The sequence below is a fragment of the Homo sapiens genome, chromosome 12, assembly GCF_000001405.40.
Source record: "Homo sapiens chromosome 12, GRCh38.p14 Primary Assembly".
Classification (NCBI taxonomy): domain Eukaryota; kingdom Metazoa; phylum Chordata; class Mammalia; order Primates; family Hominidae; genus Homo; species Homo sapiens.
The window spans coordinates 112,849,287-112,871,378 of NC_000012.12; the positions used below are offsets into that span (position 1 = coordinate 112,849,287).

General features: G+C 46.1%; 1 protein-coding gene across 9 annotated transcripts in view, besides 1 other annotated feature; it reads left to right on the forward strand.

Moving 5' to 3' along the window:
* Nucleotides 1–22,092, forward strand: part of RPH3A (rabphilin 3A) — a 323,646-nt gene that overhangs the window by 274,051 nt on the left and 27,503 nt on the right. For all 9 annotated transcript variants that reach the window (NR_145127.2, NR_145126.2, NM_001347952.2 and 6 more), the window contains 5 exons: nucleotides 16,128–16,257; nucleotides 17,471–17,554; nucleotides 19,144–19,309; nucleotides 20,473–20,511; nucleotides 20,607–20,753. Coding sequence is in view for 7 of the 9 variants with exons in the window: in NM_001347952.2 (NP_001334881.1) it covers nucleotides 16,128–16,257; nucleotides 17,471–17,554; nucleotides 19,144–19,309; nucleotides 20,473–20,511; nucleotides 20,607–20,753 (566 nt within the window). In the remaining 2 variants the exon portion in view is untranslated. The remainder of the gene's footprint in view (nucleotides 1–16,127; nucleotides 16,258–17,470; nucleotides 17,555–19,143; nucleotides 19,310–20,472; nucleotides 20,512–20,606; nucleotides 20,754–22,092) is intronic.
* Nucleotides 19,275–19,473: a silencer, noted in NCBI's record as "fragment chr12:113306366-113306564 (GRCh37/hg19 assembly coordinates)". NCBI's record gives its function as "represses an EF-1alpha promoter that drives an FKBP-Casp9 reporter gene in an ReSE screen in HepG2 liver carcinoma cells {active_cell/tissue: HepG2}" and the evidence as "EXISTENCE:reporter gene assay evidence [ECO:0000049][PMID:32094911]".

Here is a 22,092-nt window from a genome sequence, read left to right on the forward strand (position 1 = left end):
GTCAGCCTCCTCGGGTGGTCACGGAGGGGATAGGTCTGAGAGGCTTGCTTATGGAGTTAGGTTTTTATTTTGCTTTGCTTTTTAAAAGATATTTCAGGAGTGGGAAGTTCTCCAGACTGGCAGTGTGTGTGTGTGTGTGTGTGTGTGTGCATGTGTGTGTATGTGTGTGTATCTTTATACAACGATGGGCCTCAGTCATGAGGGAAGGAAAGATATGTATGTTAAAGGTAAACGGTGAAAGCAAGAACTCTGTTCAACCTTTTTCTTGCATGGCACTTACCACCAGCTATCACATTTTATATTTTACATATTTTCTTTAAGTATTGTACGTCTCTCCCCATTAGATTAAGATTCCTAAGGGTAGGTATTTTTGCCGGTTTTGTTCACTGCCATATTCCCAAAGCCTGGTACATAATAGGTGCACAGCAAAATATTTGTTGAGTGAATGAATGAACATGGAAGATGAGGCTATCTCCCAACTTCTTTCTACATTGCCTGTGGCCAAGAGGCTTGGGAGTTTATAGTCTTATCCAGGGTCCAAATTCCCAGGGAAAGTACTCTGACTGGCTTATGTCAGATACTATTCCTTGTCCAGTCAACTGCAGCCAGGCGTGCCAAGCCCAGTTGTATCAACATGGCCACTGGGCTGCCTCTGGGGGTCAGGGGAGGTCCTTGTGGACTGAGCAGATCCCAGCTTAAATGATCTAGAACAGGGTAAATGAGGTCCCTGTTTTACCTTCAATGCCCTGCTGTATTCTCCCTACCAACCTGGTGACATGGTGGCAGAGCATTGTGGTTAAGAGCTGGGGTTGCACAGTCAGGGAGATCTGGGTCCAAATTCCAGTTCTGCCACTTACCCACTGCATGCCCTTAGATAAGCCACTTTACCTCCCTGTGCCTCAGTTTCCTCATCTGCAAAATGGGGATAACATTATCACATACATCTGAGTGAGTATTTAATTAGCATGCAAAGGATTATCGTGGTGAGTTGTACAAAGTACATGCTTAATAAATAATGGCAATTATTTAATGGTGAGGTGTTTTTTTTTTAATGAGAAAGCTGATTTTTGACACTAGCTGAAGCCTTTGTTCTAGAAGTCTGCCCTGAGACTCCTGTTTGGCAAGTCCTGAAATTCTAGCAGCCCCTGGCTTCCCCTGAAGGAGATTTGAGAGGCTTCCAGGGGAGCTTGGGCCAAGTCTTTGGTGACAGAATGTCCCTTTGCTGAGACAATGTGTTTTCTGCCTGGCTTCCCAGAGTGGGGAGGACAGTCCCGGAAGATTCTGGCTGTGGTTGTTCCACAGCGCCCTTCCTGCAGCCAGCCCTTGCTGGTAGCATCGCCAGAGGCAAACCCAATGCTATTTGTGTCTTATAAACTCAAACCTGCCCTGATTCCTGTTCCACCCACACTTCCCTGGGAGGGGATCAGAGAAGAGTCAGATGAAAGCCAAGTGAAACATCAGACATGGAGCCAAACTGAAAATGGGGGTGCTAACTGGGGCTCCCACTGCAGAACATGAGGATCTCAGTTAGTGAGCTCTTGGGACCTCAGTTCCCCACCCATCAAATGACTCAGTCTCTTTCTCAAGATTCTTCCTGCTCAGAATCTACAGTATTTTGGGGGTGTCTGGTGAGGGGCCTCACACCCTATTGCTGGCTGTACCTCTCAGAGTAAATGAGCTCCTTCTATGTTGAAATCGCCAATGTAGCTGTGTCCCTTACTGGGTCCAGACATCAGCCCCATGATGCTGAATGTTCTTTTCTGTTATCTGAGTGAAAGCTATCTGGGAGAGTTATGAAATCACTGTTGATAAACATGATAAATAATCATCATGATGGATGCAATTTATTAAGCACTTACTAGGTATGTGCTTAACTCATTAACTGCTCCTCTCAACCTTGTCAAGTAAGCTATTATTATCCCCATTTTGCAGGTGAGGAAACCGAAGCTTAGAGAGTTTAGGTCATTTGCCCAAGGTCGTATGCAGGCAAGGTACACATCCCTATTGGCTGACTCTCGGAACTATGCTCTTAAATGTCTGAGATGTTTTTCCTGAAGATGTGTTGCAAATTCCTAGGCTCTGTAGAACATGGAAATTTTAATTACTCAGGTTTGGAGGGGACATTTTGAGAGCTGGAAGTTGAAACCCTTTCTGTGCTGGCCCAATTATTATTTTCAGCTCTTATTAACCTGTCTTTACCTTCCAAAGCTGCCAGAGCTAGTCTGCATGCTGCTGTGGTTCTGAGAGTTCCAGGAGAGAAATGCCCTCAGGCTTACCAGGAAGCATTGCCTCCCTGGGGCAGTTTTGCAAGGGTTAGCTGTCCCAGGGAGCCCCAGGCCATGCGCAGCAACCCAGAGCAGCTTCATTCCATGGAGCTCATGGGCTTCTGCCAGGAGGAATCTAAATCTTCACTCACCACTCAGTTCACAACCCAGCTCTGTTCTCTTCAGCTTCCCAGGAGGGAGAGAGGATGGCCAGAAGAGAAACTCATTAACCAACCTCATTTTGCCCCCACATTTCTTATATAAGTGCCAAGTGGGATTTCAGAATTTATTTTGCATGCCCGACTGCTACAGATTTTCTATATTAGTTAGGACACTTTGCTCACAAGAAAGGAAACTAATTCCAGCTAGGTTGTTTCGGTCATCTATTGCAATATAACAAACCACCCAAAACTTCGTGGCTTAGAGCAAAACAGTGTATTATTTTCATGATTTTATGGGTTAAGGATTCAGACAGAGCTCTGCTGGGCAGGTTTTCTGCTTCAGGGGACGTGGGCTAGGTTTGCTCACTCAGCTGCATTCAGTCAGTGGTTGGGCTGGGCTGGAAGGTGCAAGAAAGCTTTACTCCCCCGTCTGTACCTTGGTGCTCTTCAGGTAGCCCCTCTCTTTGCATTTCATCCTTCCTTATTCATTAGTCTGGCCTGAGCTCCTTTACATGGCAGTTGGATCCCAAGGGAGCAAAGATAGGTGTTGCCTGGTCTCTTAACAGCTGGGTCTGGAACTGGCAGGGTATCATTTCCATCACTTTCTATTGAGGACAGGAAATAGATCCTATCTCCTTATGTGATAAATGGCATGTGCATGCAGAGGAGGAAGGCATTATTGGTGGCTATCTTTATCCCATTATGTAGAAAGAGAAATTTGATATAAGGGTTCAGAGATATCTCCAGGGATCTGAGGACAAGAACACAGCCTAGCCTCATAAAAGGCCTACTTCTCATCCCATATATTAGAAAATATAGCCACGCTAGCTAGAGTCTCCCAGTTTTTATAGCTCTTCTTAGTCTAAATTCCAAATTCCTACGGAAGGAACTCTGATTGACCTAGCTTGCCCTAGATGCCTGCCCCTCATCCTATCAGCAGTGGCCAGAGGTGCCAGGCTAGACACACGTGGCTGCTGAGCACTTCTCCTGAGCATAAAAGGGCCCCTTTGTGAGTTGCAAAGCCACACCTAGGTTACTCACAGGACTTTTAGAATGTATTAAGTTTGGAATTAGACATTTGCCTCCAAAATTGGTTTGCATTTCCACCTCTCTCCCTGGCATTGGTAAGGCCCTCTTTATCCTTATTATATTTCTCTCTGTCCAGAGCCTCTCAAAGGCATTTGCTCACATATCTTGCCTGTGAAGGGACTGGCAGTTGGGTGGCTTCCATTCGAGGTCAGCTTCCCTAAACAGATGGGCCCAAAAAAGTAATTAGGATTTGTCATTAACCTTGGCATCCAGACGCCGTGATGGAGGAGGAAGTCAGAGAGACTTGTTGTTGACAGGATCTGTCACACCCCTATCACCTTCCCATCTTGATTCCACCTTCCCCTGTGTTTTTGGCATATATTTTTTCCAAAATATGGACAGAGGGAGAAGTGAGTAATAATGCCTGGAACTTGCTATGTCTAATTATCTAATTAGGCAGACATCTGTCCTATGGCTTGACAAGCCAACCATAAGCCAGGTCATACTCTCCTCTTTCTAAAGGAGGACTCTTCTCCCGCATTTAAACCTAAAGTCTTCAACATTCTATGGATGGGAGTCAGGGACTTGGGGGCATTCTGATATTATCAACATATTTATGCATGTGTCTATGTGCATTTTTTTCTCAAGAAACATAGATTTTATCAAGTTTGGGGGGACTCTGAACCCTCCAGTGTTGGGGATTATTGAGTAGTACCTCAGTTTTCTCAGGGATTGGACCAGTGCTTTTTCCAATGTCCAGCTAGCCCTAATATGTTATAGAATCTGTTTGTATAAGGTGAAAATATGGTTGGGCATAGTGGCTCATGCCTGTAATCCCAGCACTTTGGGAGGCCGAGGCGGGTGGATCACTTGAGGCAAGGAGTTTGAGACCAGCCTGGCCAACATGGTGAAATCCTATCTCTACTAAAAATACAAAAATTAGCTGAGTGTGGTGGTGCATGCCTGTAATTCCAGCTACTCAGGAGGCTGAGGTACATGAATCATTTAACTCAGGAAGCAGAGGTGACAGTGAGCCAAGATCGTGACACTGCACTCCAGCCTGGGTGACAGAGCAAGACTGTCTAGAAAAAAAAAAAAGATCAAAATAGAAGTTTTCTGGATTCCTTAATTAGCTCGATGCCTGCCATAAAAGAAAGAACAAATACATGTTGAATGAATAATGCATACTAAGTGAACCATAAACCCAACTAAGATGCTTATCAAATCACTTTACCCTTACGGCGTCCCTCATGGCCTCCCTGACCTCATCTGTAAAATGGGAAGTTGGATGGGATAGTCTTCAAATCCCTCTAGCTCAGGGCTTCTCAAGTTCAGCACTATTTATGTTTTGGGACAGATAATTCTTTGTGTGGGGGCTGTTTTGTACATTGTCAACTGTTCAGCAGCATCTCTGGTCTCTACCCTCTAAGATGCCTGGTTTAATTCCCTACCCAGTTGCAACAACTAAAAATGTCTCCAGACACTGCTCAGTGTCCCCGAGGGGCAAAGTCACCTCCTGTTGAGAACCACTGCTCTAGCCCTTTTGTTGGTGGAGAAGGAATGGGAGATGAAATGGACTGCGATTTTTCTTGCAATAGTAACTCAACTTCTAGCAAAATAATCACAACGGACAACTCTTATTGGCATCATGTGCCAGCACTGTGCTCAGAGCTTTATGTAGATTCATTTATGTAAACTTCACAGGAATCCTATGCAATAGCACATATTACAATCATTCCCATTTCACAGATGAGGAAACTGAAGAACAGAGAGGTTTAGCAGCTTGCCCAGAGTCACACAGTTAATAAGTGGTGGGGACTGGGATTATGAATCCGGGCTGGCTGGCTCCAGAATTAGGCTCCTATTCTGCTATTCCATAGAGAAACAAATATTTATCTCCAAGCCCTGTGCTAGGAACTTTTAAATATCATATATTTCGTTTAATCCTCATAATGTCCTCACTGAGAGACAGACAAGCATCTCTGCTTTACAGCTGAGTAAACTGAAGCTCAGGGAAGTTAAGCCACTTGCCCAGAGGCACACAGCCTTTATGTGGCCAAACCAGACTTTGAACTTGAATCTGTCTTTCCACTTTATCCTATTGCTTTTGGAGAGTACAGGTGGGAAAGGCAATTGATGGATGATTTCGGGGATTCAGAGAAGTCAATAATGACAGGGTATCTCAAACATTTATTGAAGTTAATTGATCGTTTCATATGTTTCTTCATTCAGTTGAACAGTTCATTCCTCTTTACCACAGTGATCCTTGTCCCCTTCAGGCCTCAGCACCACATTCTCCCAACTCTATTTTCCATGACAGGAAAGGGCAGGGAGAAGGGTCAGAAAGAACCCCAACCATAAGCACTGACATGAAACAAAGATTTCATTCTTCTAGCCTCTGGGCAGCTGGACCTAACTTCCAAATCCAGCTCTTCCACCCTTGAGCCCTGTACACTTGGGCAAGTGAGTTCCCATCTGTGTGCCTTGGTTTCCCCATCTGTAAAATGGGAGTGAATAATAGAGCTTCTCTCCCAGATTGTTGATGGCTTAAGGAAAACAATGCATATAGAGTACTTAGCATAGCACCTGGCACAGTGAGCACTCAGAAACAACAATCACAACTATTGCTGTTCCTGGGTTTGTCATGACACAGCACCTTGCCCAGCATGGACTGCACTAGCCCAGCTGAGCCCTCCAGTGGTCTTTCTCTCTTGGCTCCCTCGTCTCCGACTCTGAACCAAGGTGACCTCCTTCCCCAAAGTGCTGAGGCCCAGGCAGGAATCCCATTCACCAGTCCCTCAAGGAGACAGATTGAGATCTAGGGCTCCCCAGGTGGTGACAGTAACAAACAACAGGGAGAATTAATGAGTCTGAAATGCACATGCCCTGCATGCCAGCGTGTGTCTTCCTGATGGAGCAGCTCAGTCATTTAAGGACAGGTTCCTGAGAGACCCTGGCATTAGAGCCTCAGGCCAGCCCCCATCAGAGCAGCCATTTCCCCATTCCCAGCAGATGGCCCAATTTTGACTTCAGAAAGTGCCAACTTTAATAAACTCAACAGTAATATCCCCCTACTTGGCAATTAGGGTGAGGTGAAGAGCGAGCAGGGATTCTGGAATTGATGGTGTGGTGTGTGGTGTGTGTGTGTGAGAGACAGAGAGAGAGAGAGAAAGACAGAAAGACAGAGAAAGAGGCAAAAATCAGAGAGAGACAGAGAGGGGCAACATGACATTGTACCCACTCTCCCACTTTGCTGCGTTTTTCTGAATGGTGAAATCGTGGTCAGCCACTGCTTCTAAAGGCAGCTGCTCTGGCTGCATCCCATCGGTTGGTGGAACCCCAGCTTTTGGCCATTTCCTCTGCTGATTCAGAGACTGGCACATAAACCCATCACACTGGGGCAAGCAGGGTGCAGGGTGTCTCTCCCAGGCTCTGCTGCACACCACATGAAGCCTACTTTCTGGGACAATTGTACATCCATTAACCTTTTCCTCGACACGCATCAAGATGTTGCAGCAGTACGGGAAAGGTCAAAAGTAGTTACTTGAATGTTTCTGAGGTCAGTTTGGGCTTTTTGTGGGAGGCTGAGCATCAGAAATAAGCAGAGGTCGGTCCTCCACTGAGCTTATGACCTTACTCGAAGAAGGCAACTGATTGGATCTGATCTCTCTGTAAGAGCCCAGTGTGTACAGACATGCATGTAAAAGTGTATTCTTGCATGTAGGTTCTGATCACACATGTGCATGTGTGTGTGTGTGTGTGTGTGTGTGTGTATTCATAGCCGTAAGTACACATGCCTCTACAGGCGTGCCTGTGGATATATATGTGTGGATGCATGTGTCATCTGTGTGTGTGTGTGTTTAGAGATAGATAGGCACTTGAGTCCTATAAATTTCTCATCAATGTGGCCCCTTTAAAAGCTTTAGAAAGACAGACTTCGCAGGCAGATGATAGCATCCTGGTTACCCAGAAAAAATATGAGTACAGGGATATATAAAAGCTACAGATTTTTAGAATAAATAACTAGCAGCAACCATTACTGAATAGTTACCATGTTCCGGGCATTTTACAAACACTATCTCATTTTATCTTTGCAACAATCCTAGGAGGTAAGGGCTTTATTTCCCTAATTTACAGATAAAGAAATTGAAGCTCGGAAAGGTTAAGGAGATTTCCTGGGGTCACAGAGCTGGGAAGCGGCAAAGTCCAGATATAGGGCCAGGCAAGCTCACTCCAGAATTGGCACCCCAACCCCTGCGTCATAACTGCTTCCTACTAAATCCTGAAAGTGAGCACATCTGCAGGGGTGTGTGTGTGTGTGTCTGTGTCTGTGTTGGCATGCCTGTGTATCGGGAGTCTACGCTTTCTTGGGGCTGCATGTAAACACCTGAAGAAAGTGACCGGAACCTCACAGGGTCAAAAGCTTGGCTTGCCTGACATCCACAGCCAGTCAGGGAGGAATTGTTCTGCAGAGGAGAGCTAAAGTTGGATTCAGACCCAAATCAGGCTCTGGTGACTGATGGGGCAAAAATGTGGGCGTGGCAGGCAAAACAATGGCCTCCCCCAAAATGTTCACATCCCAATCCCTGGAGCTTGTGCATATGTTACCTCCAGTGGCAAAAGGGTCTTTGCAGCTGTGATAGTTATGAATCTTGAGATGGGGAGATTATCCTGGATTATCCAGATGGACCCCATAGGAAACAAGGGTTTCCTATGAGAGGGAACAGGAAGGTCAGAGTCACGGAGAGATTAAAAGATGCCCTACTGCTGGTTTTGAAAAGGGAGGAAGGGGCCATGAGCCAAAGAATGCAGCTGACTTCTAGAAACTGGAAAAGGCCCGGGAACAGATTCTCTCCTAGAGCCTTCAGAAGGATTGAAGCCCTGTCAATGCCTCCACTTTAGCCTTGACCTCTAGAGCTGTTAAGATACATGTATATGGTTTAAGCCCCGAAGTTGTGATAATTTGTTCCAGCAGCCACAGAAAGCTAATAGAGAGTGATTCCTTGAAACCTGCTGGCGTGCAATGGCATTTTGTGGCCCTCCTGATATGCTCTTTCACCACCACTGAGTTAGACCCATTTGGACCAACCTTGTAGTTTCAAAAGACTTGCTCAGCTCCATGTGTACAGAAAGACCAGAAACCTGCCTGCTTCATTCTACCTGGAACAGCCGCAGCATCTGAAACTCTCACTGCACTGAGCCTCCCAAGGGCTCCATTCATCTGTCCAAGTGTTGTCTCTAAATGGGACTGGGTGTAGTGTCTCATACCTGTAATCCCAGCACTTTGGGAGGCTTTGGTGGGAGGATTGCTTGATTGAGCCCGGGAATTCAAGACGAGCCTGAGCAATATAGTGAGACCTCATATCTATAAAAAATAATAGCTGGACGTAGTGGCACGCACCTGGAGTCACAACTACTTGAAAGGCTGAGGTGGGAAGTTTGCTTGAGCCCAGGAGTTTGAGGCTGCAGCGAGCTATGATCAAGCCACTGCACTCCGGCCTGGGTGACAGAGTCAGACCCTGTCTCAAAAAAAAAAAAAAAAAAAAAAAAAAAAGAAAAGAAAAGAAAAAGAAAAAAAAAGGCGGGCGGGGGTGAAGTTGGGTCTCCTCCACTGAAAGCCCTTGCATGCAGTCCCATCAGTCTTCAATACAAGACCCTGCATGGAGTGGTCCCTGCCATCTCTCCAGCCTCATCTCCCACCATTCAGCCTCCCAGCCATGCTGAGCACCTCTCACTTCCTTCGCACATGCTATTCCCCGGTTTCTCTGAGGACCTGTCCTGACTGTTCCTGTCTCTCTCTTGTGAGTTCTCATAGCTGCTCATACTTGTCCTTCAGGGGACTTATGATGATTATGGCAATTTGCATGATTTTTTAAACAATGTCCGATCTCTCACTTGAACGCCAGCTCCATGAGGGCAGTGATCTTGTTGTTTTGCTACCGTTGGATCCTCACTGTCTACTTGGCACATAGTAGGTACTCTATACATGTTTGTCAAGTGAGTGAATAGCCCATCTGCCTCCACTGGGATGGCAAGGCCAGACCACGTTGGGAACCTGCTTCTCACCACCTCCAGAGGCCATCCATTGGTGCCCAGAGGAAGGGACATACTCCTGGTGCCTCTGGGAGTATCCTGGGAATTGGGATGTGCCCACCTGACTTCACTGAGTAACCAACAACTCACCTTAAGCACCCAGCCTGGTGATGGATGTTCCCAGGATGTCAGGTGTGAGTCGTCATCATAAAGTTAATCAGGCATGTAAAGACATAGTAGTGAGTGTCAGCCACTTACAGGGTTCAGCTAATTGGGCACTTAATGTGAGAGAAAGGGATGGAGACATTAGATAGGTAAACAAAACCAGGCAGGCAAATAACACCAGGCAGCCAATGCAGACAGGGTCTACTCTTAGTCATCAAGGGTCCTTCCATTTCAAAAAAAAGAGGAGAAATCTCAATGTTTCTGTCTCAGGATCTGAGAATCCGGAATGCTGCACATGAGAGGAAACTTGAGCTGCAGCTCATCTAACCCCTCTTATTAGAAGAGGTTTTTTCAAGGTCATTGACTGGAAAAGAGGTAGGATTCAAACCCGTGGCTTTTAACCATCGGCCACATGATCTTCAAAAATGCACTTTCTTCTCTGATGTAAAAATAATACATGTTCATTTTAAGAAAGTCAAGAAAGTATAGAGGAGTCCAGCTAGTTGGGTGCATTAAAGAGGGAAGTAAAAATTACCCATAACCCCTCACTGCCTGGTGATTATCGCTGTGAATATCTTGGTGTGTTTCCTTCCTGATGTATATATACATATTTGAGTGCACACAATGGAGATATTCAGGTGAGCATGTTTCAAACCCAAACTCACACCCTGTTCACAATCCTGCACTCTGGGTTTTTGCTTTTTCCCCAGTTAACACAGCAAGAAGAGTGTGTTTCCATGGGATGTGTCTCACCACCTCCTTTCCTGTTTCTTAAAGTGTAGCCAGGAATTCACCAGCAGATTCAAACAGGGAGCCGCTTTAAAATGCAGGTTCCTAGGCCTCCCCCAACCCCATAGAATTATTCTCTGAATATTGAACATTCTCCCCAGCTGATCTAAATAGACCATACATTTTGGGAACATTCCCCCCACACAGTGGCTCTCAACAGGACTTCATGCTTAAATTCTGATATCCAGGCAGAATTAGATCCATAGCTGAGAAGGTTTAGAGTCAGGGCCGGGCACTGGCGTTTTTCTTAACACTGGCTGATTGACATGCAGTGAGGGTAGAGAGCGTCTCCCATACACATCTAGGGCTTCCCTGCCAAGACTGGTAAAAACACATCTTTCTTCTGGGGTGAAGATGCTGAAACCCACTTGTGACACATGGTCCACCATGACCCAATTTTGACTTGGCTTTTTGCAAAGTTTTATTTCCTAGTTTAAAGTCTTAAGCTGTTGGGGTCTTCCATGTTGTGGCTCCAGCATTTGAGCTGCAGGCAGGCTGCAGGAAGCTCCCTGCTCATTCTCAGTCTTCTCAGGGAGAAGGAAGATCTGCGTGTCCCCACCTCACACGCATCCTCTTTATTGGTCTGTGTTAAATTCATGGATAATGAGGGTCCCTGAGCTGAGACATCTGAGTAATGATCTTAATTCTGTTGCATTTCTGTGCCATTTGCTGCTGCTGATAGGAGCTAATGAGACACTCCCTGAATAACGTGTGTTCATGAGGCCTTTTGGCGTCCAGGAGTTAATGGTGAAAGGAGCAGGCAATAGGTGGGGAGGCTGCAGTGTGGGTTTGCAAGTGACGGGCAAGTCCACAGCCTTCATTTTCCAGGAAGAGGCAGAAAACCCTTTTAAGTTTCCTTAAAGCACACTGCGGTTTAGAATTGGATTTGTCCCACGCCCTCTTCCTGAGCTGCTTTGGCAAAGCTCAACATGAGGCAGGAGGCTGTGGGGATTCGTGGAAAGCAAAGATGATTGACTGAAGCAGAGAACTAGATTCTAGCTGTGGCTGAGTGACCCAGGCAAGCGGCCCACTCTCTCTGTGTTCTGAGACCCCCAATGGTAGAGTGAGAAGAACACAATCTATTTTCTGACTAAGGCAGTTGATGAAGGTGAAAATAGTTGGGAGCAACTGTGTATAAGAAAAATGTCCCCATGCAACTGCCATCCCCCGCCTCCATGAGCCCACTTCGTTGTCTCATAAAATTTTATAATTCTATGGCATTGAAAGGCATCCTGATGTTTAACAGCTCTAGTCAACTTCAAACTGTTTTTTTAAAACCCTGGAACCAACTTTCCAAAGGAAATCTAATTCAACAGTCCAAACAAACAAAAGAGATCAATGCAGACATGCTCTGTATGGAATGAGGTGTGGTAACCCCTCAAATTCTCTCCCACCATGCTGCCACAGAGGTTGGCCCCTGAACTGGCTCTATGAAACCCTCGGGGTACCATGAAGCACAGTTTGACAACCACCAATGCAACCCAATGCCTCCTATTTTCCAGATGAGCAAATTGAAGTCCAGAGAGGCAAAAGTCCAGGCTAAAATCAAGATTTGTCAACCGCATGTTGAGGGTTCTTTGGGGAAACACAGTGATGGAGCATTGGTTGGGTATCTTGTCCCAACCTCGGGCAGTGAGAGGTAGATGGGCTAGAACCAGCCAGGGTAACTGCATATGTGCAGCTTGGTGCTTGCTAATGATTCAAGGGCCCTTGGTGAGGGAAAGGCAGGGAAATCGAGCAGGGTGGAGGTTGGCCTGTTCAAGGCGATCCCCGTGGCTGTACATGGCACGTGGCTGTGTGCACAGCAGCATGGTGTAGCAGCTGAGAACAGGGACTTGGGAGCCGACTGCCTGGGTCTGAGTCCCAGCTTTCACCACTTCTTAGCTGTGTAACTGGCATAAACCACTTAATCTTTCTGTGTCTCAGTTTTCTCATGTAGTAAATGGAAACAAAAGTAATCCTTAGCTTCTAGTGTAACTGGGAGGAGTCATTAAGAATATCCCCGGCTGGGTGCAGTGGCTCACGCCTGTAATCCCAGCACTTTGGGAGGCCAAGTTGGGCAGATCATGAGGTCAGGAGATCGAGACCATCCTGGGTAGCACAGTGAAACCCCGTCTCTACTAAAAATACAAAAAATTAGCCAGGCGCGATGGTGGGCGCCTGTAGTCCCAGCTACTTGGGAGGCTGAGGCAGGAGAATGACGTGAACCTGGGAGGCGGAGTTTGCAGTTAGCCGAGATCGCACCACTGCACTCCAGCCTGGGTGACAGAGCAAGACTCCGTCTCAAAAAAAAAAAAAAAAAAAAAAGGATATCCCTGTGGAGGGCTCACATCTGTAATCCCAATGCTTTGGGAAGCTAAGGCAAGAGGATCATTTGAGACCATGAGTTTGAGACCAGCCTAAGCAACATAGTGAGACCCCATCTTTCCAAAAGAAATGTTTTTAAATTAGCCAGGCATGTAAGATCGTACCATTGCACTTCAGTCTGGGCCACAGAGTGAGACTCAGTCCCCCCCCCAAAAAAAAAGTTAGCCGGGCATGGTTGTGCATGCCTGTAGTCCCAGCTACTTGGGAGGCTCAGGCAGGAGAACTACTTGAAGTCAGGAGGTTAGTGCTGCAATAAGCTGTGATCACACCATTGCACTCTGGCCTGGATGGCAGAGCAAGGCCCTATCTCTAAAAATAATAGTAACACTACATAAATAAAATGAGAAAATAAAATTTAAATAAAAAGCTGTGCCTGGTACATAGTAAGTGCTCAGTAAACACCAGCTACTATTACAGGAGTTCTGAGACTATGGACTGGGAGCTTGTTCCTGCTTCCTGCCCCCTCCAATCATCCTATAGAAATAACTTCTAGGGAAGATGGGGTGGGTGGGGGGAAAATGAGGAAGAATTGAGAAGAGCGTGCTGCCTTCAGCTCTGTGCATGGTGCCTCCTCAAGCGGTTCTGTGCAATCTGGGTCACAGCGGAGGCTCCAGAGCCTGCAGGCTGCCTTTGGCTCTTCCCTGGGCAGGGCAGCACCTCTCTCGAATGGAACACAAAGGGATAAGCTGCTATTTATGGCATTGTAACTCAGAGCACTCTGAGGGTGTGGCAGGAGCAACGAGGGCCGTGGGGAGAGTCAGCATTAAGTGCCTGCCAGGCAGGGCTACCAGGGGCCCTCTGGGCGCTGTGACGCCCAAGTCCCTCCCATCGGCTCTCCCCTGCCATGTATGTACACAGCTGGGACCCAGTCCATGGAGGGGTGGGTGGGGTCCAGCTCTATCTGGGTTCACTGGCTGTGTGTCTGGAGGGAGTCCTCATTTGAGGGATGGGCAAGGAGATGACTTCAAGCTGGTGGGAAGTGACCCCCCCAAAAAAAAACCCGAAGTGGAAACAGGATACCACAGTTGTCATTCAGTGTGTGGTCTGAAACCAGTGGCATCATGTGCCACCACCTGGGAGCTTTCTAGAAATGTAGCACCTCAGGCCCCACCTCAGACCTGGTGTTTCAGAATCTGCATTTTAACAGATCCCCGTGTCATCTGCGTGCATATTAAACTTAAGAAGTGCTAGGGTCATGCGTATGAAGCATGGGTTCTAGGGGGTTTTGTTGTTGTTTTTTTGAGACAGAGTCTCGTTCTGTCACCCAGGCTGGAGTGCAGTGGCACAATCTCAACTCACTGCAACCTCCGCCTCCTGGGTCCAAGCGGTTCTCCTGCCTCAGCCTCTCAAGTAACTTGGACTACAGATGCACACCACCAGGCCCAGCTAATTTTTTTGTATTTTTAGTAGAGACGGGGTTTCACCATGTTGGTCAGCCTGGTCTTGAACTCCTGGCCTCAGGTAATCCAACAACTTGGCCTCCCAAAGTGTTGGGATTACAGGCGTGAGCCACCATGCCCAGTTATGGGTTCTAGTTTTGGCTCTGCCACTTCCTAGCTGTGTGACCTTGGGTAAGTCATTTAACTTCCCTGTGCCACTTTCTTCACCTGTAAAATGGCATAAATAGTAGTGCCTCCCTCCTGGAAGTGGGTGGCAATGCACTTCATGCCATGCTAAGCATATAGTGAGTATCACTGAAGTGTAAGCTGTTATTATGCATGACTTGACACTCAATGTGCTTACTTTTGCTAGATATATGTGTGGGGAGTGAGCTGCTCTCGTTCATTCATTGATTTAACTAGCATATACAAATCCTCACTACAGCCTAGGCACTGATCCAGCACTGGGCACACAGCAGGGAACAGAACAGACAAGGTGCCTGGCCCCGGGGAACTCATAGCCCAGCAACAAACCAGAGATTGTTTCACAATCAGCTAATTATTTAATGCAGATAATCCCTATAGTTAATTCCAAAGGTGCTATGAGGAAGTACCAGGTTGCTAGTAGAGTGAATAAAATTGGTAGTCAGAGGAGGCTCTCAAGAGGGAGTGCTATTCTAAAGAATGAGGACACTCAGGCCAGGCGCAGGGGCTCACGCCTGTGATCCCAGCATTTTGGGAGGCCAAGGCAGGTGGATCACAAGGTCAGGAGATCAAGATAATCCTGGCCAACATGGTGAAACCCAGTCTCTACTAAAAATACAAAAATTAGCCCAGCATGGCAGTGTGTGCCTGTAGTCCCAGCTACTCAGGAGGCTGAGGCAGGAGAATTGCTTGAACCCGGGAGGCAGAGGTTGCAGTGAGCCCAGATCGCGCCACTGCACTCCAGCCTGGGTGACAGAGCAAGACTCTGTCAAAAAAAAAAAAAAAAAAAATGGATACTATAGGCAGGGAAAATATAAAAGTGTGTGTGTATGCAACAGAGAGAGACAGAGAGATCACAAGTGTGTGTGTTTGTTACACAAGGAACTGAATGTGCTCTGATGCTGAGGCAGACAGAACTGAAACTGAAAGATCAGTGTAACTAGAGCAATGATTCTCAAAACCATTCTTGAGCATGCATCAGGATACCTTGGAGGACTTATAAAATACAGATTGCTGGATCTCTATCCAGCCAAATTAGAATCATTTAGCTTCCAGGACATTCATTTTCAAAGGGGAGTCTTCCTGCGTTCTGTTCACCCTCTACCCTTTCCTTAAACTGTCTGTACTTGACAATTTCAGGGCAGAATTTCTAATTCAGTTGGGCTGGGGTGGAGCCAAAGAATTCGGTTGGGTCATTGAATGTCAGGAGAGGAGGGGGTCAAGGAAGACCCCCCTGCCACGGGGTTTCTGGTTTGAGCAAGTATGTAGATGGTGGTGACATTTCCCAAGACTGGGAAGCAGGTTTGCTAGAGCTGGAGATGGAGAGTAGCCAAGATGAAAAGTTGAGTTTGAAAGGGTAAGTTTGAGATGCCTATGAAGACATCCAAGTAAAGGCATGATGGAGACAGATAAATAGACCTAAATAAATTTAACGCTCAGAAGGCAGTTTCTGGGAGGAGGTGACAGAAGATAGAAAGGACTAGATAAGGTTCTTAATCCAAAGTCAGTAGAATAGATGGGACTTTGAGGGGTGTGGGAGGGAGGTCTTTGGTATTCTGAAAATGCGTCAGAATTTTATGTGCATGTGCCTTTTCTTGGGGAAGAGTTCACAACTGTCATCAGACGCACAACAGCGTATGACTCAAAGAAGGTGAAGACTATCAACCTGACACTGTGGGGTATGCTGGTGGTCCCCAGTCCTACAAGGTCCTTATTTACCTTGTCTCTGCTTCCAGACGCCTGGTGGACCGCCTAGAAAACATGAGGAAGAACGTGGCTGGAGATGGGGTGAACCGCTGCATACTGTGTGGAGAACAGCTGGGGATGCTGGGCTCTGCCTGTGTAGTATGTGAGGACTGTAAGAAGGTATCATCATCCTCTTCTCCCTTCTTCCCTGTGCAGCACCTGCAGAGGGGAAAGTCCTAGGCTCCAGCTGTAGGGGTCACTGGGTCTTGGGGGTGGAGCTTGGATCCTGAAGATCACTTGCCAGGATATGGTTTTTTTCTGGGATGCTTCCATGCCCTACTGTCTTCCAACGTAACCCTGATCCTGGTTCCTCCCTGGAAGCCACTCTGAGCCTTCTGTCTCTTAGAGCTGAGCTCCATCCAGGGTGAACTAGGGAGCCTGTGGCAGAACATGAGCAATGATTGAGCCTGCAGATATCCTGGTTGTACCTTAGCAAGTTATGTGTCAGTTTAAAGAGCATGCTAAGCACATGTTTATACTTGTGTGTATGTGGAATGCTTTCAGTTTTCTCGTATCCTGGGTTCTGATACAAGAAACTTAGAAAGCCAAGTTAGAATTATTTGGCTTCCAAAGCATTTGTTCTCAAAGGCGAGTAATCCTGAACTCTGTTCACCCTCTAACCTTTCCTTAAACTGTCTGCACTTGACAGTTTGGGAGCAAAGATACAACTGTCCTGGGGTCTGCCGGACTCCAAGAGTTCAGTTGAACAACCCAGCTGGAGACATCTACAATGTCATCATCTCCAGCTTGATGTCACATTTGACATGTAGAATGAAATCTTGCGAAAAGTTTATTCTGAAAAACTTGCCAGTCAACTCGATAGCGAGAATTTTGTGACCCATTAAGTTTTCCTAATTGTCTTAACTTCCAGGAAATTCAATAAAAAATACAGTATTTCATCACACAGCCATGGCATTTTCTCAGATAACTTTCTTCTCCTTGGGGAGTTAAACTTCTAGTCATAGTCTAGGTTGTCTCAGGTCCGTTTTGGAAATAAAGAGGAAATAAATTAAGATAAAAAATGGATATATGGTCATTCCTCTTTAGAAAAAAGTATGTCAGTGATCTCCCCAGTGTGGATGATGAAAATTCAGATCCCACAGGGACTCTTAAAGAATTCCTTCATCCAGTGCTTGGGAATGACTCAAGTTCTTATTGGAAACAAGACTCAAATTGGAGTTTTATTCTAACTGGCCTTGCTCATAGAAGGAAGTGGGAGAAATGGAAGCAAGTTCTTCCTCTTTACATCCACCAAGAGAAAGTGGGGGGCTACGTTGCCATGCCTCCCATGAGCATGGCTCATCTGAGTGTGTTGGCTGTGTTTCATCCACAGAACGTCTGCACCAAGTGCGGAGTGGAGACCAACAACCGCCTGCATTCTGTGTGGCTCTGCAAAATCTGCATTGAGCAGAGGGAGGTGAGTGCCCTGGTCCCACCTGGTGCCTAGATCACCCTCCTTTCTTGGCCAGCTTAAGAGGTGCCTTAAGAGGTTTGTATGAAAGGACCCAGCTCAGCAGTGAACATTGACAGAACAACCTCAGAGTATTTGGATGAATTATTTCTCCTCCTCTGCTTCTGTGACTTTTTTTCTTCCTTCCCATCCTCTCTTCTTCCCTCTCTGTTCATCGCCCTCTGGCCTCTGTTCTTTCTTTGACCCCATTTCTCACCTTATGGGTCTTCCTCTCCCAACATCTTTCCTTTCTCTCTCTCTATTCCATTTCTTATTTCCATTTTTTTATTTCCTCACACTCTCCTCTTGTTTGAGCCCTTTTCTTCCTCTAATCCTTACTGCTTTTTTCTCCCCTTTCCTCATTTTGTTATTTCTCACATCTTCACACCCTTTTCTCGGCGATTTCTCTTTACTTTGTCCTCTTTCTTTCTCCCAGGCATCCTTCTCTTCCCCAGTCCTGCTTCTTACTCATCTTACCCCAATTAAGTCCTTTTTCCTTCTCCCAATTTTTTCATCCCCCATCCACTGCTGCAGAGTCCTGCCTTTGAAACCGTGTTTCAATAACCATGTTCTCCTCAGTTTCTGTCAGGGGCCTGGCAGGAAAGCATTGGCACACTTCAGTAGGATAATCAAGGGCTTGATGAAGGTGTTATTGACAAAGGTCCGGGCAGAACTAAGAGGAATCAGCAAGGGTTGGCGAGTCACCCTAGCACCAGCAAAAACAGGTTTGCTGTTTCCCCTTCTAAGGCTGAAGAGATAGAGGAGGGAATGGTTACCAGAAAGGAAGATAGGTGTAGCCTAACAGGAATGCAGTCACTGTCCAACTAGCAGTGGGTTGGGGGGAGCCAAGGAAATAAATACCGTAGTCCCACCCTCCTCTTTGCTACAAACTCTTTATTTGCCCAGAGAACTCTTCAGCAATCCAAGCTTTCAAGAGGCTTTGTTGTAATCCCTGGTGCTCTCCTTGACCAACTAAACCTGAAGACAGAGGTCAAGGTTTATTTGGTGGAGTCCAGTTAGTGCAGCCCATACTGGTCAGCCTCCTGGGGCACAGAGCAGGGTGGAGAATGAATCTGACGGGGCAATGGAAGATGTTTCACACACCGTCCTAGGTGTGCTGCTCTGTTCTGACCCACAGGGCCAGGAGAAAGGCCAGAGGTCTTGGGGAAGTTGTAGGTAGATCACCCTCTTCACAACAACCAGTGTAGTGGAGAGCATGCCACATTTAAGAGATGGAAGACTTGGAGTTGAGCCCTTGTTTTTCCATTCTCTAGCTGTGTACTATTGGACCAGTCCTTAAGATTTTGGATATTCCCCTTTCTCCATCCAAACTCCACTTTCTTCATGGGTAAACTGAAGCCCTTTCTACTGAGTTTTCAGGGTGGATGGGCTGAATAAATATGAATTGTGCAGGGCTCTGTAGTAATAATAAAAGTGTGCTGGCTATTGTGTCAGTGTGCTTTGGATGAGGAGGAAAGATAAAAATGGGCACTCATGAAGGTAAGAGCAACAGCGCTTGGCTGCCACATCTTCAATCCCTGTCTCTCCTCCCCAAGGTGTGGAAGCGTTCTGGAGCGTGGTTCTTCAAAGGCTTCCCCAAACAGGTCCTCCCACAGCCTATGCCTATAAAGAAGACCAAGCCCCAGCAGCCTGTCAGTGAGCCTGCTGCCCCTGAACAGCCTGCTCCTGAGCCCAAGCACCCTGCCCGGGCTCCAGCTCGAGGTAGGACAAAACAGGTGCTTCTTTCAGGACCAAGGACAGATCTTAGCCAACTGGTCTACCTGAGGGATGGCCTGACATCATGTCTGTGTTTCCACCCAGTTGTTGCATGGTCAGCTTCTGCACTTGGGTCTAGGACTCCTATATCTCCTTCAGAGTTCACCATAAATCGTTACCAAGAGGGTAGCACAGGGAACTCTCCAGCAATGCCAAGCCGCCCAGAGGCTTCATTGTCATCCCTGGTGGCATATCTAGTGTACAAGAGGTGGAAATTAAAATTAGGAACTGAGAGAGACTTTCACCACCAAGATCACACTGGAGCCTGGGAGAATACTCGGCTTGCTGAGAAGGCCTTCCTGGACCCTGTTATTTCTCCTACTATCCATAAGCAAGTCTGATTTGGACTAATTAAAAGTGAAAGATGAATAGAAGGAAATCAGTAAAAGAAAATTACTGCTACTAAATTGCTACTATTGACATTATCACTATTATCCAAGTATTATGATTAATTATTAAAATGATTAAGAGGGAGAAGCAAAACAGTAAAAATTTTAAAAAGCAACCATAGTAAAAATACATTTTAGTTGGACTAGACCACTAGGACTGACCAGATAAAGCCCTTGCAATAATTTCAATTGATGCTAAGTGATAAAATCTGGACTAAATGACAATTCCAGATTGAGTGCAGGCGGTACTTCTGAAAGGAAGGGTACAGCGTTTTTCATAAGATAACTTATCAAGGCACTTAGCACAATGCCTGCCACCTAAGAGGCATTCAACAAATGTTTTCTTCCTGACAAGGCAAGAGCAATTTCTACTCCTTGCAGAGAATCACCAAATTGCCAACATATATTGCATCCCTGAGGAGTCCCCAGTTTTCACCACTAAAATACTCCTTCTTCCTAGTTCTTCTAGGCTGAGAAGGCTGTATAGCATAATTGTTCTTTATAAAGCCTGTGTATGCTCATATGTGTTTGTGCATGCAAAAAAAAATGTGAAATTGTAAACAGGAGCTAGATCAAAGAGGAGGTTGGGAGAAAGACTTTTAATTTTTAAAACATATTCTTAGGCAATAGTCAATGAACCCCTTTGTAGGCTTCTTAAGTACCGGTTTTCCAGACACCAGAAAACCAGTACTCCTCATAATTTGTGTTTTCTTTCTCCAGGTGACAGTGAAGATAGGAGGGGCCCGGGTCAGAAGACAGGTGGGTTCTGCTGACTCTGTTTTGTCATTTGAGACACGAATTCACCTAATTCCCTCGATGCCCTTTCTCTACTCAATTCATGCTCTTCTTTCCAGGCCCTGACCCAGCCTCTGCTCCCGGGCGAGGAAACTATGGGCCTCCCGTGCGCAGGGCCTCCGAGGCACGAATGAGCTCATCTAGCCGAGATTCAGAGAGCTGGGACCACAGTGGGGGTGCTGGAGACTCCAGCCGGAGCCCAGCAGGTGAGCAAGATGGGCAAATCCAGAGACAGTTCTCTGGATAGGGAGACTCAAAAAGAATGAGGGGAACTGTGTTTTTATTCATTTACTTAGGCAGCATTTATTGAGTCCTACTGTGTGCCGTGTTCTATTCCAGATACTGGTTTTAGTCTATGGTAGAGGAAAGACAGGATTCAGAAACAATTCTGGCTCTAGACATCCATAATTTTGGTTAGATCCTTTTCTTGCTGTAATACCATATGTCAGAAAGCATGATTTTTTTTCTCCCCGCCTCAAAAAAAAAAAAAAAAAAACCCTGGGGGAAAAATGCCCCTAGGCTTCGAACAAAGTAAGGATGCTTCACTCTCAAAGATCTCTCCAAGTCTCCCCTTGGCAATGGCCTCTGCTGTCTGGGCATATGGCATAGGTCAGCATGGCCAGGATGTCACTGACATGTGCTCGTATTGGGTACCTCACATTTCTGGCCTCACTCTTGGTGGGTTTATTTGGTAAGAGTGCCCATTGGTAGGGGTCATGGAGCACAGGACTTTGAAGGAAATGTCTACCATATTGGAACATCTTTGTTCCATGGCCCCTTGTCTGAGACCTCAAAGCGGCTTCATTTCTTTTGCAGGAAGGGGCTGTGTCTGGGTCTAAGTCAGATTGGCTGAATATTTATGTCCCACATACATCTGGCCTTCTCTTCCTGAATTGTGTGTTTGTAGCTTAGCACTTCACTTCCTCTTATTGGCAACAGAGCTGGGCACGTACCTTGTGCTTCATAATCTGCCCAGACCTCCCCCCGACAATGAACCTATGGTTCAGATGAACAGAGAAAGAGGAACTTCCAGATCCTCAACATCAGGAAGTATTTATAGAGTGTTTACTATGTGCCAAATGCCGTCTCAAGTTCTTTTACATACATTATCTCATTTAATGTTTGCCACAACTCCAAAATCCACGTATGAGACTTCTGTTATTCGCATTTTACAGAATGGAGAAACTGAGCCTCAGAGAGGCGATGCTACTTGCCTTAGGTCACACAACTGATAATTGGTTAGAATGAGAATTAATTCCCTGTGTGTCCAATCTCAAAGCCTGTACTTTTTCTTTTCTCTTCCAGAGGTAAAGTTTCTTTTGACAATGCCTTTTAAAATTATTTTTTAATTGTTGTAAAATATATATAACATAAAATCTACCATTTTAACCATTTTCATGTGTACAATTCAGTGGTGTAAAGTACATTCACACGGTTACACAACCATGCCACTATCCATCTGCAGAACTTTTTTGTCATTACAAACTGAAACTTTGTATCCATTAAATAATTCCACACTCCTCTCTGCCCAGCCCCTGGTAACCA